Here is a 20,098-nt window from a genome sequence, read left to right as displayed (position 1 = left end):
TCCTGCCTTTAGGTTCATTTTCTACTTTATATATTTCTGTAATGTCTAGACTTTGTTACAAGAACCATTATTTTTGGCAAAAGAAAATGCTCATTTTAAAAATGAAGCAATATAGAAATGTTCCAAAGAGAAATGTCCCCAACATGTACCATTCAAAAACTCTCAGGTGAAAATCATTTTCCAGATCTTTCTATGGGGAGAGAGAAGTATAATTGTACATACTTAGTAAACAGAGAGGGAAGAGGGGAAAGAGAGAAGAACAATTCACAGAGCAGACGATAATGTCATATACGGCTCTGCTCCTGGAGCCCAGCAGTGAGTTAGAAGACCTGGCCCTGCTGTTCACTCAGCTGCTCTCCATCCTCCTGAGTCTCTTGTGGGCATTTTGCCACCCTGGGTGGGGTTCCATTCTTTAAAGCCATTTATTTTTTTCTTCAAGATGGGCCCCAGGTCAAGTCTGGTACTGAACCAAAGAAACAGTATTCTCCTAGCAGAAGAAACAAAACAACTAGTTATGTGATTTATTGATAGATGAGGTACATATTAGTCTCCAATATCCCAGTGCCACTGTATTAGTCAGGGTTCTCTAGAGGGACAGAATGAATAGGATAGATGTACATATAAAAGGGAGTTTATTAAGGAGTACTGACTCACACCATCACAAGGTGAGGTCCCACAGTAGGCCATCTGCAAGCTGAGGAGCAAGGAAGCCAGTTCAAGTCCCAAAGCTATAGAACTTGGAGTCCGATATTGGAGGGCAGGAAGCATCCAGCATGGGAGAAAGATGGAGGCCAGAAGACTAAACCAGTCTAGTCTTTCCAAGTTCTCCTGCCTGCTTTTATTCTGGCCACACTGGCAGCTGATGAGATGGTGCCCACCCAGACTGAGGGTGGGTCTGCCTCTCCCAGTCCACTGACTCAAATGTTAATCTCCTTTGGCAACACCCTCACAGACACACCCAGGATCAATATTTTGCATCCTTCAATGCAATCAAGTTGACACTCAACTATCACAGCCACTCAATAAAAATAAAATTTGAGATATATATGTTATTTAAACCCTTTCCCTAACCACATCCCAAGTAAAGAGAAACAGGTGAAATTAATTTGAACAATATATTTTCTTTAACTCAGTGTATCCTAAGTATTATCAATTTATTATATCAACATATTTACATATATTAACATACATTCAACATTTAAAATGATTAATGAGCTATTTCATATTCCTTCACTTTCACTCAGCCTTGGAAGTTCGGTGTGTGTTTCACAGCACGTCTCAATGGGGCACTGAAGTTTCACTGAGAACAGTTGATCCTTACTTAGATTCCAGACCATTACATTTGAAAGAGTTCCATGCACAGATCTAAGTTGTTCCAAACATACTTAAGAATTTTCCAATAACTGAATCAGGCTTCAGTTTTTAAGTTCACATTTAAATAAATTAAAATTAAATAAAATTTAAAATTTAGTTCCTCAGTCTGACGGGCCACATTTCAAGTGCTCAAAAGCACCCTTTGGCCAGCAGCTGCTACGGCCCACACAGCTTTCTACTGTCCTTTACAAGCAATTGAAAGAGATTTGCAAGTGTTACAGGAAAGGGGTCCCCAACTTCAAGAGAGGGTTCTTGGATCTCCTGCAAGAAAGAATTCAGGGCAACTCCCTAAAGTGAAAGTATGGTTATTAAGAAAGTAGAGAAATAAAAGAACCGCTACTCCATAGACAGAGCAGGCCTGAGGGCGGCTGGTTGCCCATTTTTATGGTTATTTCTTGATTATATGCTAAACAAGGGGTGGATTATACATGCCTCCCATTTTTAGACCATATAGGGTAACTTCCTGACGTTGCCATGGCATCTGTAAACCGTCATGGTGCTGGTGGGACTGTAGTAGTGAGGACCACCAGAGGTCACTCTCATCCCTATCTTGGTTTTGGTGGGTTTTAGCTGGCTTCTTTACTACAACCTGTTTTATCAGCAAGGTTTTCATGACCTGTATCTTGTGCCAGCCTCCTATGTCATCCTGTGACTTGGAATGCTTTAACCATCTGGGAACGCAGCCCAGTAGGTCTCAGCCTCATTTTACCCAGTCCCTATTCAAGATGGAGTTGCCCTGGTTCACACACCTCAGACACAAGGGCAGTTTTGACTGGGAAACAAGCAGCGAATGATTCGAATTTGTCACTCAATCCCTAAAGACAAAACTCCACTGTAAATTTAGTTTTACCTAAATTTATTCGTTAAATCATTTAGTTAAATTCTGAGCATCCGCTGTGAAGGAGGCCTTGTCTCTCTGGGCCATCCATTCAAGGGGGCCAGGACAGTTAGTGAGAAATCGGATCATTCCAGAGGTACGTGCTGGGAAGAAAGCAAAGCAGGATGGCGCTGTGGAAGACGACTCGGGCTGGGGTTCAGGCCATACCATTCCTCCAAGATGACATTTTAAGGGGAGGCCTGAAAGACAAGGAGTCAGCAGTGTGAGTTTTGGGTGACAGCATTCCCAGCAGACAGAGCTGGGTCCAGGAACAGGAAGCCCGAGGCCTGCATAACCTCAGTGAGGGCAAGAGACAGCAGTAAAAGGCTGGGCTGGAGGGGAACCAAGTCTCTATGCCATTTGTATTTTGTTCCAAGTTCAATGAAAAGGCATTGGAAGGTTTTAAGCTGGCGCTATTATTAGATTTATATCATAAAAAGATCCTCTGGCTGCTGGACAGGAAAAGCTGAGAGGTTACTGTGTCAGTTTAAGTGAGAGAGAATGGGTCAGAGAGATAGGAGGGGAGAAAGAAAGAGGTGTGTGGACTTGAGATATATTTGGAGGTAGGGCCCCCTGAGCTTGCAGATGGTTTGCACGTGGGAGTTGGGAAAGTATTGACCTGCAGGTGCTGGACTCAAGCCCCTGGATAGGTGGTGGTGTTATTTACAGAGTTAGAGAACACTATGTATGTGTGGGATGGGCAGCAGGTGTGGGGAGGGTGACTCAAGAATTTAATTTGGGGCATGACTAGAGATGCCCCTCAGAGATCCAAATGGAGATATTTACTAAGCCACAGGATCTGAGTCTGGAGCTCAGAGGAGAGGTCAGGGCTAGACACATAAATTCAGAAATCACCAGTTGTAAGTAGTGTTTGGAGGTGTGAGATTAAATGACATTGCCTAGGAAGAAAATACAGAGAATGGAGGATCTAGGACCCAGCCCTGGGGTCTTTGAACATTTGGAGGTCCAGCAAGAGTTGGTGTGTCATGGAAGCCAGGACAGAGTGTTTCAAAAAGGAGCTAATGGGCAACTTGTTGCATGCTCCAGCAAGATAAAGCCAGATAAGAATAGAGAATTGAGCATTTGATTTGGCAGATTTGAAGGACTATGATGAATTTCACTGGTTATCCCTGGGAGTGCTGCGGACTAATGCCCAGTTGGAAAGGGTTGAGAAGGGCCTGGGAGACGATGGCTGCAGACAATCCTTTGAAAGGACAGAGGAGGGATGGGCAGGAGCTAGAAGGGGGTATGATGAGTGTGTGTGCTTATATTAAGGTAGAGAACCACTGTAAGTGGTCGCAGCAGATTTGCCTGATGAGGGGACTAATCCATTCAGTAGAGCAGATAAATTACTGATTTCTGAGCATCTTGCTTATTGGACATTTGTGTCTGTTTCCAGTACATTGCCTGTCAATATCCTTTGCCCCTGTTGCTCATCTCTCTCTTCTTGATATGTAGAAGTTCTTTTTATATGCTGAATGCGAATGCTTTACAGTCACGCCCTTCATACAACCTTTTGGTCAATGACAGGCTGCATATACAATAGTGGTCCCATGAGATGATAATACTATTAATATATTTTGACTGTACCTTTCCTATGTTTAGGTATGTTAAATATGCAAATACTTACCATTATGTCACAATTGCCTGCAGTATTCTGTATGGGAACATGCTGTACAGGTTAGTAGCCTAGGAGCAACAAGCTCCACCATCTAGCCTCGGTGTGTGACAGGCGGTACCATCCAAGTTTGTGGGGGCGCCCTCCAAGATGCTGAAATGAGGAAATCGCCTAATGGCGCATTTCTTAGAACGTATCCCTGCTGTTAAGCGAGGCATGACTGTATGTGTTAAATGAATTGCAAACAATTTCCCTTGTTCTGTAGCTTGTCTTTTGCTTTGAAAGAAGTTATTAATAACAACTGAAAGACATTATTATATTATTACTTATAGGCAAGTCTGGACATTTCTATGGCTGTGCTTTACGTGTCTTGTTGAGAAATCCTCCAACCCTCTAAGGTCATAAAGATGTTCTGCTGTCTTTTCTTCTAAATCTTTTTCCATTTTGCTTTCACATTGAAGTCTAATCCACCTGGAACAGATTTTTGAGTGTGTTTGAACTCTAATTGTTCCTCTGTCCTCGCCCCCTGCTCCTTGGAGTCAGGCTGGAGTGAAGCAGGGGGAAGGCATGTCCAAGTAAACAGGAGCAACTCTGGGTCTCTGGCCCCGGTTATTCTCTGTAGAGTGACACGTCCTTGCCAGCACACCGAACCTGCAGTCAGTGTGGATAAAAGTCACAGGCTGAGTGCTGCCGCACTTTGGAGAATGAAGAGGAAACAGCCATCCTACAGTTGGGATGAACTGCCCCCGGCCAGAGGTCAGAATGCTGGAGCCGCAGCAGCCTGTGTAGAGGACAGTGCCAGGTGAAGCAGTCCCCCAGGGGCACCAGGTCCAAGGAGCAGGGCACAGGAGCCCAAGAGGCACCAGGGATGTTCTCAGCAGCTGGCCTGCCCTCAGTGGCGCCAGTTTCTGACAACAAAGCCCCTAGCAGCCATTACCACTGCAATTTAGCCTTCATGAAAAAGCAAAACAAAAAAAATCTAATAGCAATACCTAGTATCAGAAAGAATCGGGAACTGGGATTTTGGTGAATTGCTGTTGGCAGTGTAAATTCATAAAGGCACTTGGGAGAGCAATTAGTACCCAGCATCTTCCTAGTCTAGAGATTCTTCCACACCCAAAAGCTCACCTGACCCTCACAATGACCTTTACCTGGACAGGATAATTATTGTCTTCCTTTAACAAATGAGGAAACTAAGGCAGGGCAGGGAGGAAACCCTTCCTCCAGCAGAAGAACCCCCTGTGCAATATTCTTTGCAATATTCTTTTCAACCCAGCCTTCAGAAACAGGGAAAAGAAAAAGAAGGCTGTCACAACAAGAAATTGAACTGTCCCGGTAGTCATCCACGGGCTCTGCACCAGGGCCAGAGCTGTGCTGTTTTCTCCAGCTTCCATCCCTGCTTCTGGCTGCTCTGTAAAACAGTTAGCTAAGCTTATAGTCAGCGCTCAAGTCTGGAAGAGCCTGGAGGGTTGTGGAAGGTTTTAGGCGCTATAGGATAAAGGGAGACAATCAACCATCTTTCTGCTAGGCAGAGCCCACACTGTGACTTGATCTCTTTGGCTCCCCACGCCCTGGTGCTTCTGCATGGCTGGGACTTGCATTCACTCAGTCTTGTGCTGTGAGGTATGAGCGGTTTTAAGGTGACATCCACGTCCTCTTATAACATGAGATGGGCGGATTATTTTATCCTAGGTCATGAAGATTCCTATCAGGGTAAATGCTTTTGTTTTTAGAATGTTCTTAAGGAATAATACAATAGTGACAATTTCAGGAGGGGTGAGGAAGATGTAAATCCCTTGAGTCACATAAGGTACCAGGGTCTGGTCCAGGCAGAAGCGGGTCAGTGGGCCCTGACTCGAGGCTGGGCACTCGGCTAGTGGAGGAGAGCATGTGTGGGGGGTGGCGGGGGCACCAGCACCCCTCCCAGGAATATCGGCAGAAGCCATTTTAATAACCGTAATGACTCACTAGGGACTTTCCTCTATGGTATCCACATGGGGAAATTAAGGAATCGGTTGAAAACATTTTCAAGGACTGCATTGGGTTACTAAATTAAAGGTCAAGATGTCAGGAAACCACCTGCGGGTCATCCTCCCCCAGCAGCACCTCCGGTGGCTTGCTCTTTCCTTAGGTGGCAGGGACCAGCTGGCAGCTTGTTTCCCTTTCCTTCCTTCAACACCGTCGCCCACCCATCCCTCCCCACGCCACGGTCAGTCTCCAGCAGACAGACCTGCCCTTGCTTCTGAGTAGAACTGGGGACTTTTCCTTTTTTTTTTTTTTTTAATGGGTAATCACTTTTGCTAATTTAAAGTGATTTTGCTAATCACTTTTTTAACAAGACAAAAGCAAGACAGGAAGATTAGTAAGATTCTAGAATCTTCATGTTCTTTGTATTTGAGATCCCCGGTCCATGGTGCTTTCTCTCTTTCTGAAGGGAGCTATCAACTGATTTGAAGCTCAGTCTTCCATTTCAATTTCATGCCATTCAGGAAATAGGTATTAAGGACTTAATATGGGCTGGGCACTGTCCTACTTCCTACGTTCGAGGGATACAGTAATGATGGAGAGAGAGAGAGAGAGACAGAGATCCATCTGTGACACTGCTCAGCAGAACATGGAGCATCAGCCAGAAGTATTTAATATTTTCAGAGCAGTCTCCTCTATCTGCTTAAGGGGCTCACCAAGAGCTCCCCTCCAGAGCAGAGCGGGGGCAGCTGGAAAGACAATCGTTGGTTTCCACACTTAAAGCCCACAGAAGCAAATCTCTGGCATGTTTCTAATTACAAGAGTATATGAATAGGGGGATGCAGTCTCAGGCACGCCTCTCCACAGTCAGGATTTTTTTAAAAATCTCTCTCTTTCACGATTAGAAAAAGAAGTAACATTTACTTGTCTGGTTTTTAAATTGTTTCATTTGGAGGTGACGGGAAATCCTGTGAGGGTAAATGCTTTTCTTTCTAGAATGTTCTTAAGGAATAAATACAATAGTGGCAATTTCAGGAAGGGTGAGGAAGATATAAATCCCTTGAGTCACACCAGGTACCAGGGCCCGGTCCAGCCAGGAGCCGGTCAGTGGCTGGGCACTCGGCCAGAGGAGGAGAGCATGGCAAGGCCACCAGCACCCCTCCCAGGAAGATCAGCAGAAGCCATTTTAATAACTCGCTAGGGACTCACTAGGGACTTTCCTCTATGGTACCCACATGGGGAAATTCAGAAATCAGTTGAAAACATTTTCAAGACTAGACACCTGGATCCTCCCGGGCCTGCCTGCAGGGGACAGAAGCTCCTGTCCTAACATGGGAAACAGCTTTGGAAAGGGAAGTGAACAGCACTGGAGAAGCCAGTGCACAGAGGCATCCAGGGGGTGGCTGGTGCCTCCCCACCTCGGGCGAGAGAGGTGGAACCCAGCAAGGACCAGTGTGTTATTTCCTGGAGCTGGACAGCTTCACAACAGAAATGTGTTGTCCTGCAGTCCCGCAGGCTGGAAGGCCCAGATGGAGGTGTCAGGGCTGTGAGAGAAGGATCTGCTCCAGGCCTCTCCATGGCTTCTCGTGATTTGCCGTCGTCTTTGGGATTCCTTGGCTTGTAGAAGCATCACCCCCATCTCTGCCTCCATCTTCACGTGGTCGTCTTCCCCTGTGTCTGTGTTCAACTGTCCCTTTATTTTTATTTTTTATTTTTTTTGAGACAGAGTTTTGTTCTTGTGGCCCAGGCTGGAGTGCAGTGGTGCGATCTCAGCTCACCGCAACCTCTGCCTCCCGGGTTCAAACAATTCTCCTGCCCCAGCCTTCCGAGTACCTGGGATTACAGGCATGTGCCAGCACACCAGGCTAATTTTGTATTTTTTTTTTTTTTTCAGTAGAGACGGGGTTTCTCCATGCTGGTCAGGCTGGTCTCAAACTCGCGACCTCAGGTGATATGCCCACCTCGGCCTCCCAAAGTGCTGGGATTACAGGCATGACAAATGTCGCCTTTTTATAAGGACACCAGTTATATGGGATTGGGGGCCCACCCTACTTCAGTGTGACCTCATGTCAACTAGTTATATCTGCAATGACCCTATTTCCAAATAAGGCCACATTCTTAGTTCTGGGGGTTAGGACTTCACATGAATTTGGGGGGGACACAATTCAACCCAGATCAGAAGGAGTGGACTCTGGGACAGGGCAGGGAGCAGCCTTCAAGGCAGAGGTAGCCCCAGTGTCAAGGACATGCTCTGGACAGCCCTGGGCAGTGACATAACAAGAAGTCCAAAGACAGGCAGTCGGCCCTGGCTGTAAGGACATTACCCAGCCAAGGGTCTGATCTTGGACTTTGCTTGCTGGGAGCATTTTCCCAGGTGTGGTCTGAAAACCTCGAATGGCAGGAGCCAATTTGGAAGGTTTATAGATCAAACTCTATTTTGATATCTATTTGTTTAAATGGGTAGGGAGAGAATGTAACCAGCACCACAAACTCACTAATGGTTTATTAATGAGAGGATGTGAATGAAGTGGCTAAGTTTAAAAAAGTGAACCAGTTTTAAGAAAAAAATATCAATCCTATGTAGATATAAAAGTCCACATATGGCCAGGAGCCATGGCTCACACCTGTAATCCCAGTGCTTTGGGCTTTCGGAGGCCAAAGCAGGAGGATCCCTTGAGCCCAGGAGGTCAAGGGTGCAGTGAGCCATGACTGTACCACTGTACTCCAGCCTGGGTGACAAGAGTGAGATCCTGTCTAAAAAAAAAAAAATCCACATGCAGGTGGTATCTGAATGACAAGTTTTGGAAACTGTTCCTACATCAATTTTTAAGCAGATTTGCCCTCTCAAAAGATGGATTTGCCAGCGTAGTGGATGTGGATAGGAATGGAGAAGGGGCCGAGGAGAAAACAGCAAGGCTTGCAGGCCCACGTTGAGTCCTGAAGGTGTTGTCACAGTGGGCTCCCTGATCTCCATCCTCATAGCCAAGCTGCAAGTCTGACCCGGGTCCCCCCACCCCTCCATCCCAAGTCATCACTCCCTCCCTTAAATGGCACAACAAAACCCCTCATTGGTTCCCAAACTTTTTGAAAGTAAAAAGCCACTCCTTAGCATGGCATGCTTAATATGGAACATCAACTGGGGCCTACCTTGCTCTCCAACCCCACGTCCCTCAGGGCGCACTGCTCCTGGTGTAATAACGACACTCAAGAGATGCCCATCAATGTCTGTCACACGTATGGACACTGAATCACTGTGCCATTCACACAACTGAGCCCTACCCCACTTCCACAATTTCTCATACAATGCAATCCTTTTTTGAAAAAAAAAAAAATTCCAGTCTAAAGGCAATCTTAATATGTTAAGTTTTGAGTTTTCCTGTTTTCTTTCATGGATTTGGATTGTATCTTCAAATGCCTAAGTTGGCTTGTGTATGGTTGCTTCATCAGATGAAAAAGATGTTATGAATCTACTCTTCTTCTCTTTGGAGCTTTTAAAAAATGAGAGTCTCAAAGGAAATCTGAGATTGGTAATGATTGTTACAGGAAAGGGGTCCCAATCCAGACCACAGGAGAGGCAGGGTTCTTGGATCTCACTCAAGAAAGAATTGAGGGTGAGGCCACAGAGTAAAGTGAAAGCAAGTTTATTAGGAAAGTAAAGGAATAAAACAATGGCTACTCCTTAGGCAGAGCAGCCCCGAGGGCTGCTGGTTGCCCATTTTTATGGTTATTTCTTGATTATATGCTAAACAAGGGGTGGATTATTCATGTCTACCATTTTTAGACCACATAGGGTAACTTCCTGATGTTGCCATGGCATTTATAAACTGTCATGGCGCTGGTGGGAGTGTAGCAGTGAGGATGACCAGAGGTCACTCTCGTCACCATCTTGGTTTTGGTGGGTTTTAGCTGGCTTCTTTACTGCAACCTGTTTATCAGCAAGGTCTTCATGACCTGTATCTTGTGCTGACCTCCTATCTCATCCTGTGACTTAGAATGCCTTAACTATCTGGGAATGCAGCCCAATAGGTCTCAGCCTCATCTTACCCAGCCCCATTTAAGATGGAGTAGTTCTAGTTGGAATGCATCTGACAATTATCAGAGTTGAGCAAAATCTGGGTGACCAACCAATTAGATCACTGGCATTGGGAATAGTCAGTAGACACCATCCTATCCACAATCCTCCTGCCACAGTTACAGGATCTGTCTTGGGGATCCATCACCACGTATATATGTCAGTCTACTCCTGTACAGCTAAATAAATATGTATATAGTCTAAATAATCCTTTAAAAAACCCAGTCATCTGAAGTGAGGAAAGACGTACACGAAGTACCCTATCACTATAACCTATTTTATCTTCCTAGCCCTTAATACTCTATGCAAAATAAATTCCAAAGTTAAAAAAAATCTAACAGTGGGTTGGAACCTAGGTCTGGATATTATTCTAAGCTCTGCCACAGGCATGCAGTTTGCCCTTGGACAAATTCCTTGACTTACCACCATCTCTGTTTCACCATTCCCAGAATGCAGCCTAGCAAGTAATCCCTCCCTTTCATTACATGGAGGACAAGATACACTCACGTCCTTTCGCAAAATGGGACACCTCTCTCCTAAGAAAGATGGAAATCAGGGGGATATATTTTAAAGAGATTAGATTAAAATCAACATGGCATGTGAGAAGAAAAATGATTACGTTCTAGAGTAAACAAAACCTGAAATGAGTTTATAGTCTATTCTCACCCTTTTGGTCCAAACAAAAAAGTATTGCTTGATTATTCTTTCCTGCTTCACTAACAGATTACAAACTCCCTGGGAGAAGATAGATTCTATGTGTCATATTTTCCATTCATTAGCAATTGCTCACTGAATTGAAATATTTGCTACTTCCCCACTATAGAGTGTTTCTCAATGTGTTTCATTCAGCATTGTACTCAACAAATGTTTGCTGTATGAAGACATGTCTGTGTTGAGTGTTTACACCACTAGTTAACAACTTCCCTTTGTTAAATCTTAGGTTTCTATTTTTTCGTTTTATTAACCAATGCTGCAATATGCTTTCTCGTGCATCAGTACTTCCCTAGACATCTAATTGCCTTGTTCAATTTGTGACGTAGAATTTTGCAAAAAGGAAGTTTACACAGCGAAAAACTATATATACAAATGAAATAAAATACATGATTTAAAAAGACCGCATATTTAGAAGCAAAGGAAATATTCATAAACATTGTGGTTATTCCTCAATAGTGAAATTACTGATGCTTTCATAATCAGAATAAAATTACATATGTAATAAAGTCCGTGATACTGTCATTCAAAATAGGGGATTTGGTACTCCCTTACATTTATACAGTTCTCAACAAAAAGCCTTTTATTGTTTGCTCTGTCTGGTCTTCTCGCTTATCTCTTAAACTTGCAAACGTATAGTCCTAGCCCACCGCACTCGGTTCCGAAGAAGGCGTCCCTCGGACAAAACCGAGGAATCTGTCCTGCTCTGTAAGGAACTAGGGCTTGCTGATTCCCAGATTTTAACGAGAATCCCTGCTCCCCGTAGGCGCTCCATAAATTTTTACTGGACAACTTCACCGCGCGCTACTGGGCCTCCGGGAGACCCGTGACTCCCACCCGCTCTGGGCGCGGGCCCGCAGAGCCTCAACCCGCGCCCCCGGCAGCCGGGATTCCCCGCCCGGACCGGCTCCCAGGCTGGAAACATCATGGTCCGCACCCGGGGCGCAGCCGAGACCCACCGCGCCGGAGGCCCCGGGACCCGCTCAGACCGCTGCTTGGCCACTCTACGCCCCTGAGCCCCCCACACAGCCAGCCCCGTGACCTCCGAGCCCCGTGACCTCCGAGCCCCGTGACCTCCAAGCCCCGGAAGCCGCTGTAGGCAGCGGCCCAGCCAGGCCCCGCCCCCTCCACCGGAGCTCCACGCGTCAATTCCAGCCAGGCCCCGCCCCCGGCCGCCCCAGGCGTGGACCCAAGCCAGGCCCCGCCCTCTGCCTGGCTACTCCAGGCGCCCACCGCCCCAGGCGTCCTCTAGCCCAAGCCCAATGCCCGGCTGCTCCAGACGTCGACAGCCCCATGCCCCGCCTCCTAATCGGCTGCTGCTGGCGTCCTCTGGTCCAGGCTCCGCTCCCTACCCGGCTGCTCCAGGCATCCTCTAGGCTAGACCCCGCCACCTACCGGCCGCTCCAGGCGTCCGCAGCTCCAAGCCCCGCCCTCCGCCCGGCTGCTCCAGGCGGCCTCCGGCTCAAGCCCCGCCCCCTGCCCGGCGGCTCCAGAGGTCCGCGGCTCCAGGCCCCGACCCCTGCCCGGCTGCACAAGGCGTCCTCTGGGCCAGGCCCCGCCCCCAGCCCGGCCGCTCCAGGCCCCGCCCCGCCCCCTCTGTGCGCGCTCCGCTCGGCAGCCTGTGGGACGCGACCGCGGCGCTAGTCTCGTTCCTTTGTGCTGCGGCGGCGGCTTCTCGAGTCCTCCCCGACGCGTCCTCTAGGCCAGCGAGCCCCGCGCTCTCCGGTGACGGACCATGTCGGCGGCGGGAGCGGGCGCGGGCGTAGAGGCGGGCTTCTCCAGCGAGGAGCTGCTCTCGCTCCGTTTCCCGCTGCACCGCGCCTGCCGCGACGGGGACCTGGCCACGCTCTGCTCGCTGCTGCAGCAGACACCCCACGCCCACCTGGCCTCTGAGGACTCCTTCTATGGCTGGACGCCCGTGCACTGGGCCGCGCATTTCGGCAAGGTGGGTGCGAACGCTTTAAGGCGCCATTTTCCCCGGCTGTCCAGTGGGAGTCGGGGAAAGCGGGTCTGAGGTGCGGGGGACGTGGGGCGTGCCGGGATCGCGGGGCGGAAGCGGGATCGACGGCGCCTGTGCCCCGAGGGGCCTAGGGCGCCTGTGCGGCAGCGCTCGCGGCCCGGAGTCGCGGCGGGGCAGCCGGGGGGCGCGGGGCGGAAGCGAGGTCGGTGGCGCCTGCGTCCGGAGGGGCCTAGGGCGCATGTGCGGCGGCGCGCGTAGCAAGTTTCTAACAAGGCGGGCTCCAAGGGTCCCGGCGCCTGTTGGCCGGATCCTGTGCGAGCGCGCGCGCGCGCGGATGGTGCGGGGCCCTCCAGGCCGGGCCGGAGGCGCGAGCGATTTCGCAGAGCCGGGTATTAGGCCGCGAAGTCGCCCAGGCGGCTTCCGGGGAGCCGAGCTGGGGTCAGAGGCGCGCGGGGAATGCCCGGGCGCGGTCGACCTTCTGGTTCCGCACAGCCTCGCCAGTAGCCGAGGGCCGCGCTGCGGACGAGCTCAGCCGAGGAGCAAGCGCCCCGGCGGGACTGGAAGGCCCCGGCAGCTGTGTGGGATGGAGGCCGGCTCTCCAGCTTCTGGGTTTGCTTTAAGGCTTGTAGCTGGCCCCGCTTCAGCAAAATTAGTGACGGCTGTGTTTATCTTGGATCTAAATTACTGCAGAAGTGGTTAAATTAAGCAGAATTCTCTTCCCGTGGAGGCTTTACGTTCCCCTCTTTTTTCTTAAACTGAAAATTCTGGGGGAACACAGTGCTGCTTTAAGGTTTTAAAAGGTTGGATAGCTACCGTTTCCTCATCTGTGAAGTCGTTGGGGTACTTGCTCTCAGAAATCTTAAATAAGATTTCACCGTGCATTTCAGAAGTGACTGGTTTTAATTAATATTTCTTAATTCACTGAAATTCAGGGATGTGTATAGTGTTTTTCTCGTAAGTGATGAGATGGGGTTAAATGGTTTTGCAGAAATATGTGAGAGGTAATGTGAAATAAGTTACTTTAAGAAGGCCTGGCCCTGGTAATGTCGTTACCAGCTGATGAAGTTGCGGTTTACCTTGCTGCCCCTGGTGCTACATTCACAAAGCAGCTGTGTCTTTTGGAAAGCAGTTTCTGATTCTTTTAAAGTGGAAAAGTCACTTTTCTTTCAATAAAAGAAATGAAAAGGAGTTTTGACGATCGGGGTGGGACAAGCAAGTTAATCAGTCCTCAAGGGCTGTTAGGTTCCTGTGGCACTGTCTCTGAAGTTGTGCAACCGTAGTACCTGCTGGAGAAAACAGGTGCCCAGGGGAAATGAGTTTCTTAACAAACAAAAGTAATAAAGCCTCCTCCCTGCGCTTCTGCGTGCAGCCTTAAATAGATTTCCCGAGGCAGTCAGTAATCTGAGGATTTCCTCCCTCCAGAGTGTCTCTTGCTGTGGTTTATTTTTACACTAAACTTTAGGATTCTGTCCTTTCTACCCTGGTTGAGAACGACACAATACTGGGTGATAGTCAGTGAACAACGATCTGTAGAATGCTTAAAGCCTCATTACAGATGGTCACTTAGAAAATTTAATCCAGTGGTGCCTCCACTTGTCTCTGGGGATTAAAATAGTTACTTTAAAATGGTAATTTTTAATGTGTATTTTATCACAGTTTTTTAAAAAACACCGACTGAAATCACTTTTCAAAAGTCTACTTCCATGGGACTTTGAGTAGTAGCTTTACCTTGGTCATCAAATGTTGTAACAAGAAGCAGTTACTTCATTGTTTCCAGCTGTCTGAATCATAGGGCTCTTTGGTCTTAGATACGGAAGGGGCCTTAGAAAGCCCCTGTCCAGTGTCCAAACATTCCCTTCTGAGAAGAAGCCGTTAGGACAGAAATCAGGCCAGGACTCAGGGCTACCGCTTGCGAAGTCCAGGCTTTCTCCCCAGCCCTGCTAACGGCTGCCCTCTTACACAGGTTTCAGGCTCGTGTTCTTAGAAATGTGCTAGTGGTGCACAAGATCCCCTAACCGTTGGTAAGACTCGTTTGTTGCCAGAGGACTAAACGAGTTGTTTAAAATCTCTGTTGTAGCTTTTATACCATATTGAACAGTATCTTTCCAGAATTCCAAATCCAAGTTTCTAAATTGAACCCAAGGGTAACAGGTTTAAAGCCAGCGAGCCCTGAATAGCTGATTTTTGGTACGCCAAGTGATTTTCATCCGTTTTATTTTTATTGGATTTGCAACCTGTTCATCTTATCGCTAATTAATACTTTCATTTTCACCCAGTGAATTAATAAAGGCAATAAATAGACATCAGCCTTTACTCCCAGGTCCAAGTTGGTTGAAGAGGGTGTTTTGAATCTGTGTACTCTTCATCTCACAGGAGTGTTTACTGAAAGCCTGAAAGTGCTAAGAGAAATGGAAAAAGAAACCTTGAGTTGAGATGGTAGTGTCAGGTGTTTTGTCTTCAGGTGAGGTCTCTCCTCTTGAAGAGAATTGCTTGCAGTCAGGCATAGCTTGTTCCCTAACTGCATTGTGATTGGAGTGAGGGAAAATGAGCAGTCCAGGATCAGAGAACGTGGGTTGAACAGTTGCTTGGCACATGGTAGGCACTTGGTAAATTTGTTGAATGCGCTAAATTATTTTAGCCAGAGGCTATCATGGTATTGGTGCTTGGCCACAAAGTCTTAACTTGCCATGTTAGTCACCCACTAGGTGCATTGCTCAGTTATGCTGTAGGCTTTTTTCCCCCATAGGGTTTTGAAAAGAGTAAAAAAATGTGGAGAATGGGGCCTCTATTGATTATTCAATGAGTATTCAGTGCTGGCTTGTGTAAAAGTGCACAGTTGTGCACACTATAGAAAATAGTCTTTGACTATGACGAGTTTACTATGGCTACACAAAGTTTGTGGGGTTTTTTGTTGTTGTTTTTTGTTTTTTTGAGACAGGGTCTTGCTCTGTTGCCCACGCTGGAGTGCAGCGGCGTGATCTCTGCTCACTGCAACCTCCACCTCCTAGGTTCAAGTGATTCTCCTGTCTCAGCCTTCTGAGTAGCTGGGATTCTAGGTATGCACTACCACACCCAGGTAATTTTTGTAATTTTGTATTTTTGAAACCCCAGTATGGGGTTTCGCCGTGTTGGCCAGGCTGGTCTTGAACCCCTGACCTCAGGTGATCCACCCGCCTTGGCCTCCCAAAGTGCTGGAATTACAGGCATGAGGCACTGCGCCTGGCATTACACAAAGTGGTGGTGGTGGTGTTGGTGTTTGAGATGGAGACTTGCTCTGTTGCCCAGGTTGGAGTGCAGTGGCGTGATCTCAGCCCTCTGCAACCTCCGCCTTCTGGGTTCAAGCAATTCTCCTGCCTCAGCCTCCCAAGTAGCTGGGATTACAGGTGCCCGCCACCACGCCCGGCTAATTTTTTTGTATTTTTAGTAGAGATGGGGTTTCACCATGTTGGCCAGGCTGGTTTCGAATTCCTGACCTCAAGTGATCCACCCGCCTTGGCCTCCCAAAGTGCTAGGATTACAGGCATGAGCCACTGCGCCCGGCCTACACAAAGTTTTTTAACCCACCAATCCCTTTAACGTTTTTGTTTAGAATAGTCTGTGCAACAAACAGTTTTGATAGAAGTCTTGGAACAGCGCAGTCCAATATTTTCTGATTTTGGCTTATTCAATTGTAGGGAAACAAATATTTAAATCTGTATAGTGTTAGTCGTCTTTTTGCATTTTTCTATTTCTATCTACCGTCTTTTTCATAAGGACAAGGGAATATGTTATCTTAAATGTCCTTTAAAATTTGCATGGCATTGGGAAAGAGTGACTTAATCTGTTAAAAAACTGGTAACAATGCCATTTGTCACCATTATAGAATTTCGATTATTCATGTAATATTGAATAGTGTACTGACATGTCTGCGTGTTTTCATTACCCCTCTTGTTTTCGAAGTTGGAGTGCTTAGTGCAGTTGGTGAGAGCGGGAGCCACACTCAACGTCTCCACCACACGGTACGCGCAGACGCCAGCCCACATTGCAGCCTTTGGGGGACATCCTCAGTGCCTGGTCTGGCTGATTCAAGCAGGAGCCAACATTAACAAACCGGTAAGAGTGCTGGTGATGGACTTGGTTTGCTTTTGCTTTTTCTTTTTGCAGTTATAATTATACACGGTATTGCTTTAAATCGAGGCCTTAATTAGAGTTTGATATCTTTACCTGAGGGCAGACTGGAATTTATGTTTCTTCAGTTGTTTGTGGAGGATAGTAGGCCCTTTCCATAGGAATGCTTTCTGTTCATAGAGTGCTTTCACCTGTTGTGTGATAAACTGATCCAGGGTGATGTGCCCAAGGTTATAGCTGGTAATTAAAGGAGCCTGGCCTTGAGCCCAGGTTTCCTGGCTTTCTACTCATAGCTGCCTTAGCCTCATTTCCACAGATAATTATGAAAACATTTTCATCCTGGGAAAAGCATGGCTATTAAGTCAGCTCCAAAGTGAGCTTCAGATACAAGTTGATGCCTTGATGCAGATAAGTGCTAAGTATCATTTACTAAGTGGGAAGAGTAAGTGACTTGAGGACTTGGTATTTAAACATACTGACAGGAACATAATCGTGCCAGATTTTTCTTCATGGTGTGTTTTCAGTATCATTTCACCTAAACCAAACACACACGCATTCAGATTGTTAGGTACTTAGTTGTGTGAGACAAGCAGCATCTAATAACCATTAGGTTGTCTGACTGGGAGCAGTCCCTAGACTCAGCGTCCTTTGCTGCAGATGGATTAGTCCTTAGACTAATTGATAATTTTCATCTCTTAAGACCTGGGCATGGGCTCTGGGAGCTGGTTTTTATGCCTTTTTTACTCCTATCTTTAAATGCTTTATAGTCATCAAGGTCTTGGATGCAAAGTCGTCTTTCTACTTTTCTTTCCCAAGATTCAGTCCTTCATGATAACCAGGCATAAGGTTGTTGCTAGTCCCTCTTCTAAAAACCCAGCTACCCACCTGAGCAGTAAGTAATTGAGAAAGAAGGTGTTTTTAGCCATGATTTAAAACAAGGATCAATGGGAAAGTGGGGTAAGTTATAAGGCAGTTTGTCCCCTTAAAAGATGTGAAGTAGAAAAGAAAATGGAAGGTGGCCAAGAGTTGAGGCCTGTTTGTTACTAAACTGAAATGTGGGATATGGGACAAGTTTTAAGGTTGTGCTGCCACTTCTCTCCTTCCATCTCCACACGTGTGCCTTTACATAATGTATATTTCTCTGCTGCTCTGTTGCTTGTCTTCATAAATTCGAGAGTTATGAATTACCTACTCAATACCCTTATGTGCTGGGCAGCGCCTTGTGTTTTTCCTTCTTCCCTACCCCTGTCCCCTGGTAGAAAGGGCAGTGTGGGCTTGATTCCTTGGGCAAGTCATTAACTTTGTGGCTCAATCTCTTTATCAGTAAAATACAGTTAATAATTCCATGAATGGCAGTAATTAATAGTATGGAATTTAAGTATATCATTTTTGTAGGTTAATTTTCATCAAATTGTTACATAGCATCTTATTTAGAGAGGACTAGAGAAATTGTCTAACACTGCTTTCCAGACCTTTTTAAATCAAGAAGCCCCCTTTTCAAAGTGTCTTATGGCAGTTCAGTATTTTCAGTAGATAAAGGGAGTGAGGCAGAAAGTGTGCTGCTGGGTCTCCCACCTTCCTCTCAGATGCCTCTAGATAACACCTCCTGGAAACTTCTACCGCACTCTGCTTCTTCCCAGGCAGGATCCTAAAATCTTTTTCTTTTCAGCCCTCCCTGTATTTGAAGTATCCGGGTAGACATTTCCAAGTCCTCACATGTGCCTAGTGCATATCATTTGGCATTGTAAAGCATCCTGGAATTTCTCCTTAGTGTATCTTAGGTAGTTGTGGTCTGCTGGCATGTGGAGTTTACATCCGAATCTGAGGCATCATCTCACTCTATTATGTAGTGGGTGAATTTCAACACCTCTTGTTATGGGCACCCAGTGACTCTAGAGGACACAATAGCCCTTTTGTTAGCTCCCCACCCCGCCTACCTGCTGACTCATCTCCAGGTAGACAGTTTCTCTCATTTCTCATATAAACTCAGGATGCCAAATCCAATCCAGGTTTTTCTCCTTTGTTGTGTCCATTTAATTTTTTGAACCTGTTGATGCAGTGTTTTAAGCCAATTTCTAGTCTGTTAATCTTTTGGCATGTTAGCTACTAACAGTTCTAAGTTCATTTTCCTCAAAGTTAATACCACAGACTTTTTTGGCAGTCTCTGAGGTGAGATTACCAAAGCTCGTATGCTGCCTAGAGGCCTGTGTTCTCGATTTCCCCAAGAGGAAATGAAGCCAGCTTTCCTGTGATTTGTTTTTAGTGAATCTATATTGACTAGCCTTGGTGCGTAATTAGCAAACCTTCTCTTTCATATGCCTCTTCTAGAATTTTGGCATTTGATGTTGTCTTTAATTTTTCATATCTAGATTGGAAATGAAATTTTTCTTTATGAAAACCCAGGGTGCCCAGCCTGTCTTGAGCATTCTGGCACTGCTCCCAGTTCCCTGTAGATCACTCAATTTGCTGTGGCTGCGATGTGACTGGGCTGAGCTGGAGGCCCGGGCACCTTCACCTGGCTCTTTAGTCTTACGTATCTTTTCTCTTGGCTACCTTCTCTCAGGATGTCCGGGCCTTTCTCTAGTGTTTGCTCTGCCCCTAAAGATTGTCCCTGCAGAGCTTGGTAGTTTTGCTTTTTCATTGTCATCTGTTAATATCCCACCGTGACAGACCCTTACTTTTTTGTCTTGTTCCAAGGATAGCTTTAAAGACCTTTTTTCCTTTTTAGCCTTTTTCTTTTTTGGCAAAACTTTATCTAAATCTCAGCTCCAGTTTTCCTGGGAATGTTTTTATGTAATTTTTATTTGTCTTTATTTTGTACTACTTCTCTCCCCTCCTCACCTCTCTTTTGGGGAGGATAGGGCTAGGTTTTCGCTTTTTAAAAAATCCGAGTTGACTGGATAGTTTATAGCCGCATGGTTTTCTGTGTTTCTGTCTTCAAAAATGGATTTTTCTGTTTAGAACTTTACATTGCTTTATAGTCTCTTTAGACCTTTGTTTAAATAAATGTGCACACTTTTCCCTCTACCAAGCACTCGAGCCTTTCATACTCTTATTTTTCTGTAAATTAATCTACCACTGTTTTTTTTAACTTTGGGTGGCCCTCACCTCATGTTTATTCCTGTGAGTATGAGTTGGTGAAGGAGCTTAGCTATTTAGTGAGTTTAGGAATGAACTGTTTTCTAAGTGACCCACAGTTGCTGCACTCCTTTTTATCTTGGTCTCTTAATTGTGTGGTAGTCTGCGCAGTTCAGCTTCCAGTGAGGTTGCAGTGTGAGTATTCAAGAAGTGTTGCTGATCGAGACCATCCTGGCTAAAACGGTGAAACCCCGTCTCTACTAAAAATACAAAAAATTAGCCGGGCGTAGTGGCGGGCGCCTGTAGTCCCAGCTACTTGGGAGGCTGAGGCAGGAG

At 46.4% G+C, this 20,098-nt stretch overlaps 1 protein-coding gene across 9 annotated transcripts in view, besides 9 other annotated features; it reads left to right on the top strand.

The window, feature by feature from the left end:
* Window positions 5,837–5,896: an enhancer, noted in NCBI's record as "active region_8018". NCBI's record gives its function as "activates an Ori minimal core promoter by ATAC-STARR-seq in GM12878 lymphoblastoid cells {active_cell/tissue: GM12878}" and the evidence as "EXISTENCE:reporter gene assay evidence [ECO:0000049][PMID:35858748]".
* Window positions 6,970–7,119: an enhancer, noted in NCBI's record as "active region_8017". NCBI's record gives its function as "activates an Ori minimal core promoter by ATAC-STARR-seq in GM12878 lymphoblastoid cells {active_cell/tissue: GM12878}" and the evidence as "EXISTENCE:reporter gene assay evidence [ECO:0000049][PMID:35858748]".
* Window positions 10,904–11,578: an enhancer, noted in NCBI's record as "H3K27ac hESC enhancer chr13:111568056-111568730 (GRCh37/hg19 assembly coordinates)". NCBI's record gives its function as "activates a minimal SCP1, AML or CMV promoter by ChIP-STARR-seq in naive H9 embryonic stem cells {active_cell/tissue: H9 hESC(naive)}" and the evidence as "EXISTENCE:reporter gene assay evidence [ECO:0000049][PMID:30033119]".
* Window positions 11,377–11,536: a silencer, noted in NCBI's record as "silent region_5523". NCBI's record gives its function as "represses an Ori minimal core promoter by ATAC-STARR-seq in GM12878 lymphoblastoid cells {active_cell/tissue: GM12878}" and the evidence as "EXISTENCE:reporter gene assay evidence [ECO:0000049][PMID:35858748]".
* Window positions 11,667–12,326: a silencer, noted in NCBI's record as "silent region_5522". NCBI's record gives its function as "represses an Ori minimal core promoter by ATAC-STARR-seq in GM12878 lymphoblastoid cells {active_cell/tissue: GM12878}" and the evidence as "EXISTENCE:reporter gene assay evidence [ECO:0000049][PMID:35858748]".
* The window catches only part of ANKRD10 (ankyrin repeat domain 10), a 36,530-nt gene continuing 28,649 nt past the window's right edge, over window positions 12,218–20,098 (top strand). For all 9 annotated transcript variants that reach the window (NR_104587.2, NR_104586.3, XR_007063690.1 and 6 more), the window contains exons 1-2: window positions 12,218–12,562; window positions 16,517–16,669. Coding sequence is in view for 6 of the 9 variants with exons in the window: in NM_017664.4 (NP_060134.2) it covers window positions 12,353–12,562; window positions 16,517–16,669 (363 nt within the window). In the remaining 3 variants the exon portion in view is untranslated. The remainder of the gene's footprint in view (window positions 12,563–16,516; window positions 16,670–20,098) is intronic.
* Window positions 12,597–12,966: a silencer, noted in NCBI's record as "silent region_5521". NCBI's record gives its function as "represses an Ori minimal core promoter by ATAC-STARR-seq in GM12878 lymphoblastoid cells {active_cell/tissue: GM12878}" and the evidence as "EXISTENCE:reporter gene assay evidence [ECO:0000049][PMID:35858748]".
* Window positions 12,930–13,606: an enhancer, noted in NCBI's record as "NANOG-H3K27ac-H3K4me1 hESC enhancer chr13:111566028-111566704 (GRCh37/hg19 assembly coordinates)". NCBI's record gives its function as "activates a minimal SCP1, AML or CMV promoter by ChIP-STARR-seq in primed H9 embryonic stem cells {active_cell/tissue: H9 hESC(primed)}" and the evidence as "EXISTENCE:reporter gene assay evidence [ECO:0000049][PMID:30033119]".
* Window positions 13,077–13,206: an enhancer, noted in NCBI's record as "active region_8016". NCBI's record gives its function as "activates an Ori minimal core promoter by ATAC-STARR-seq in GM12878 lymphoblastoid cells {active_cell/tissue: GM12878}" and the evidence as "EXISTENCE:reporter gene assay evidence [ECO:0000049][PMID:35858748]".
* Window positions 18,422–19,039: an enhancer, noted in NCBI's record as "OCT4-NANOG-H3K27ac hESC enhancer chr13:111560595-111561212 (GRCh37/hg19 assembly coordinates)". NCBI's record gives its function as "activates a minimal SCP1, AML or CMV promoter by ChIP-STARR-seq in naive and primed H9 embryonic stem cells {active_cell/tissue: H9 hESC(naive and primed)}" and the evidence as "EXISTENCE:reporter gene assay evidence [ECO:0000049][PMID:30033119]".

This window comes from Homo sapiens, chromosome 13 (genome assembly GCF_000001405.40).
Source record: "Homo sapiens chromosome 13, GRCh38.p14 Primary Assembly".
Lineage (NCBI taxonomy): Eukaryota > Metazoa > Chordata > Mammalia > Primates > Hominidae > Homo > Homo sapiens.
The sequence above is the reverse complement of the archived record's forward strand: the minus strand, read 5'-3'. Positions and strand labels throughout refer to the sequence as shown.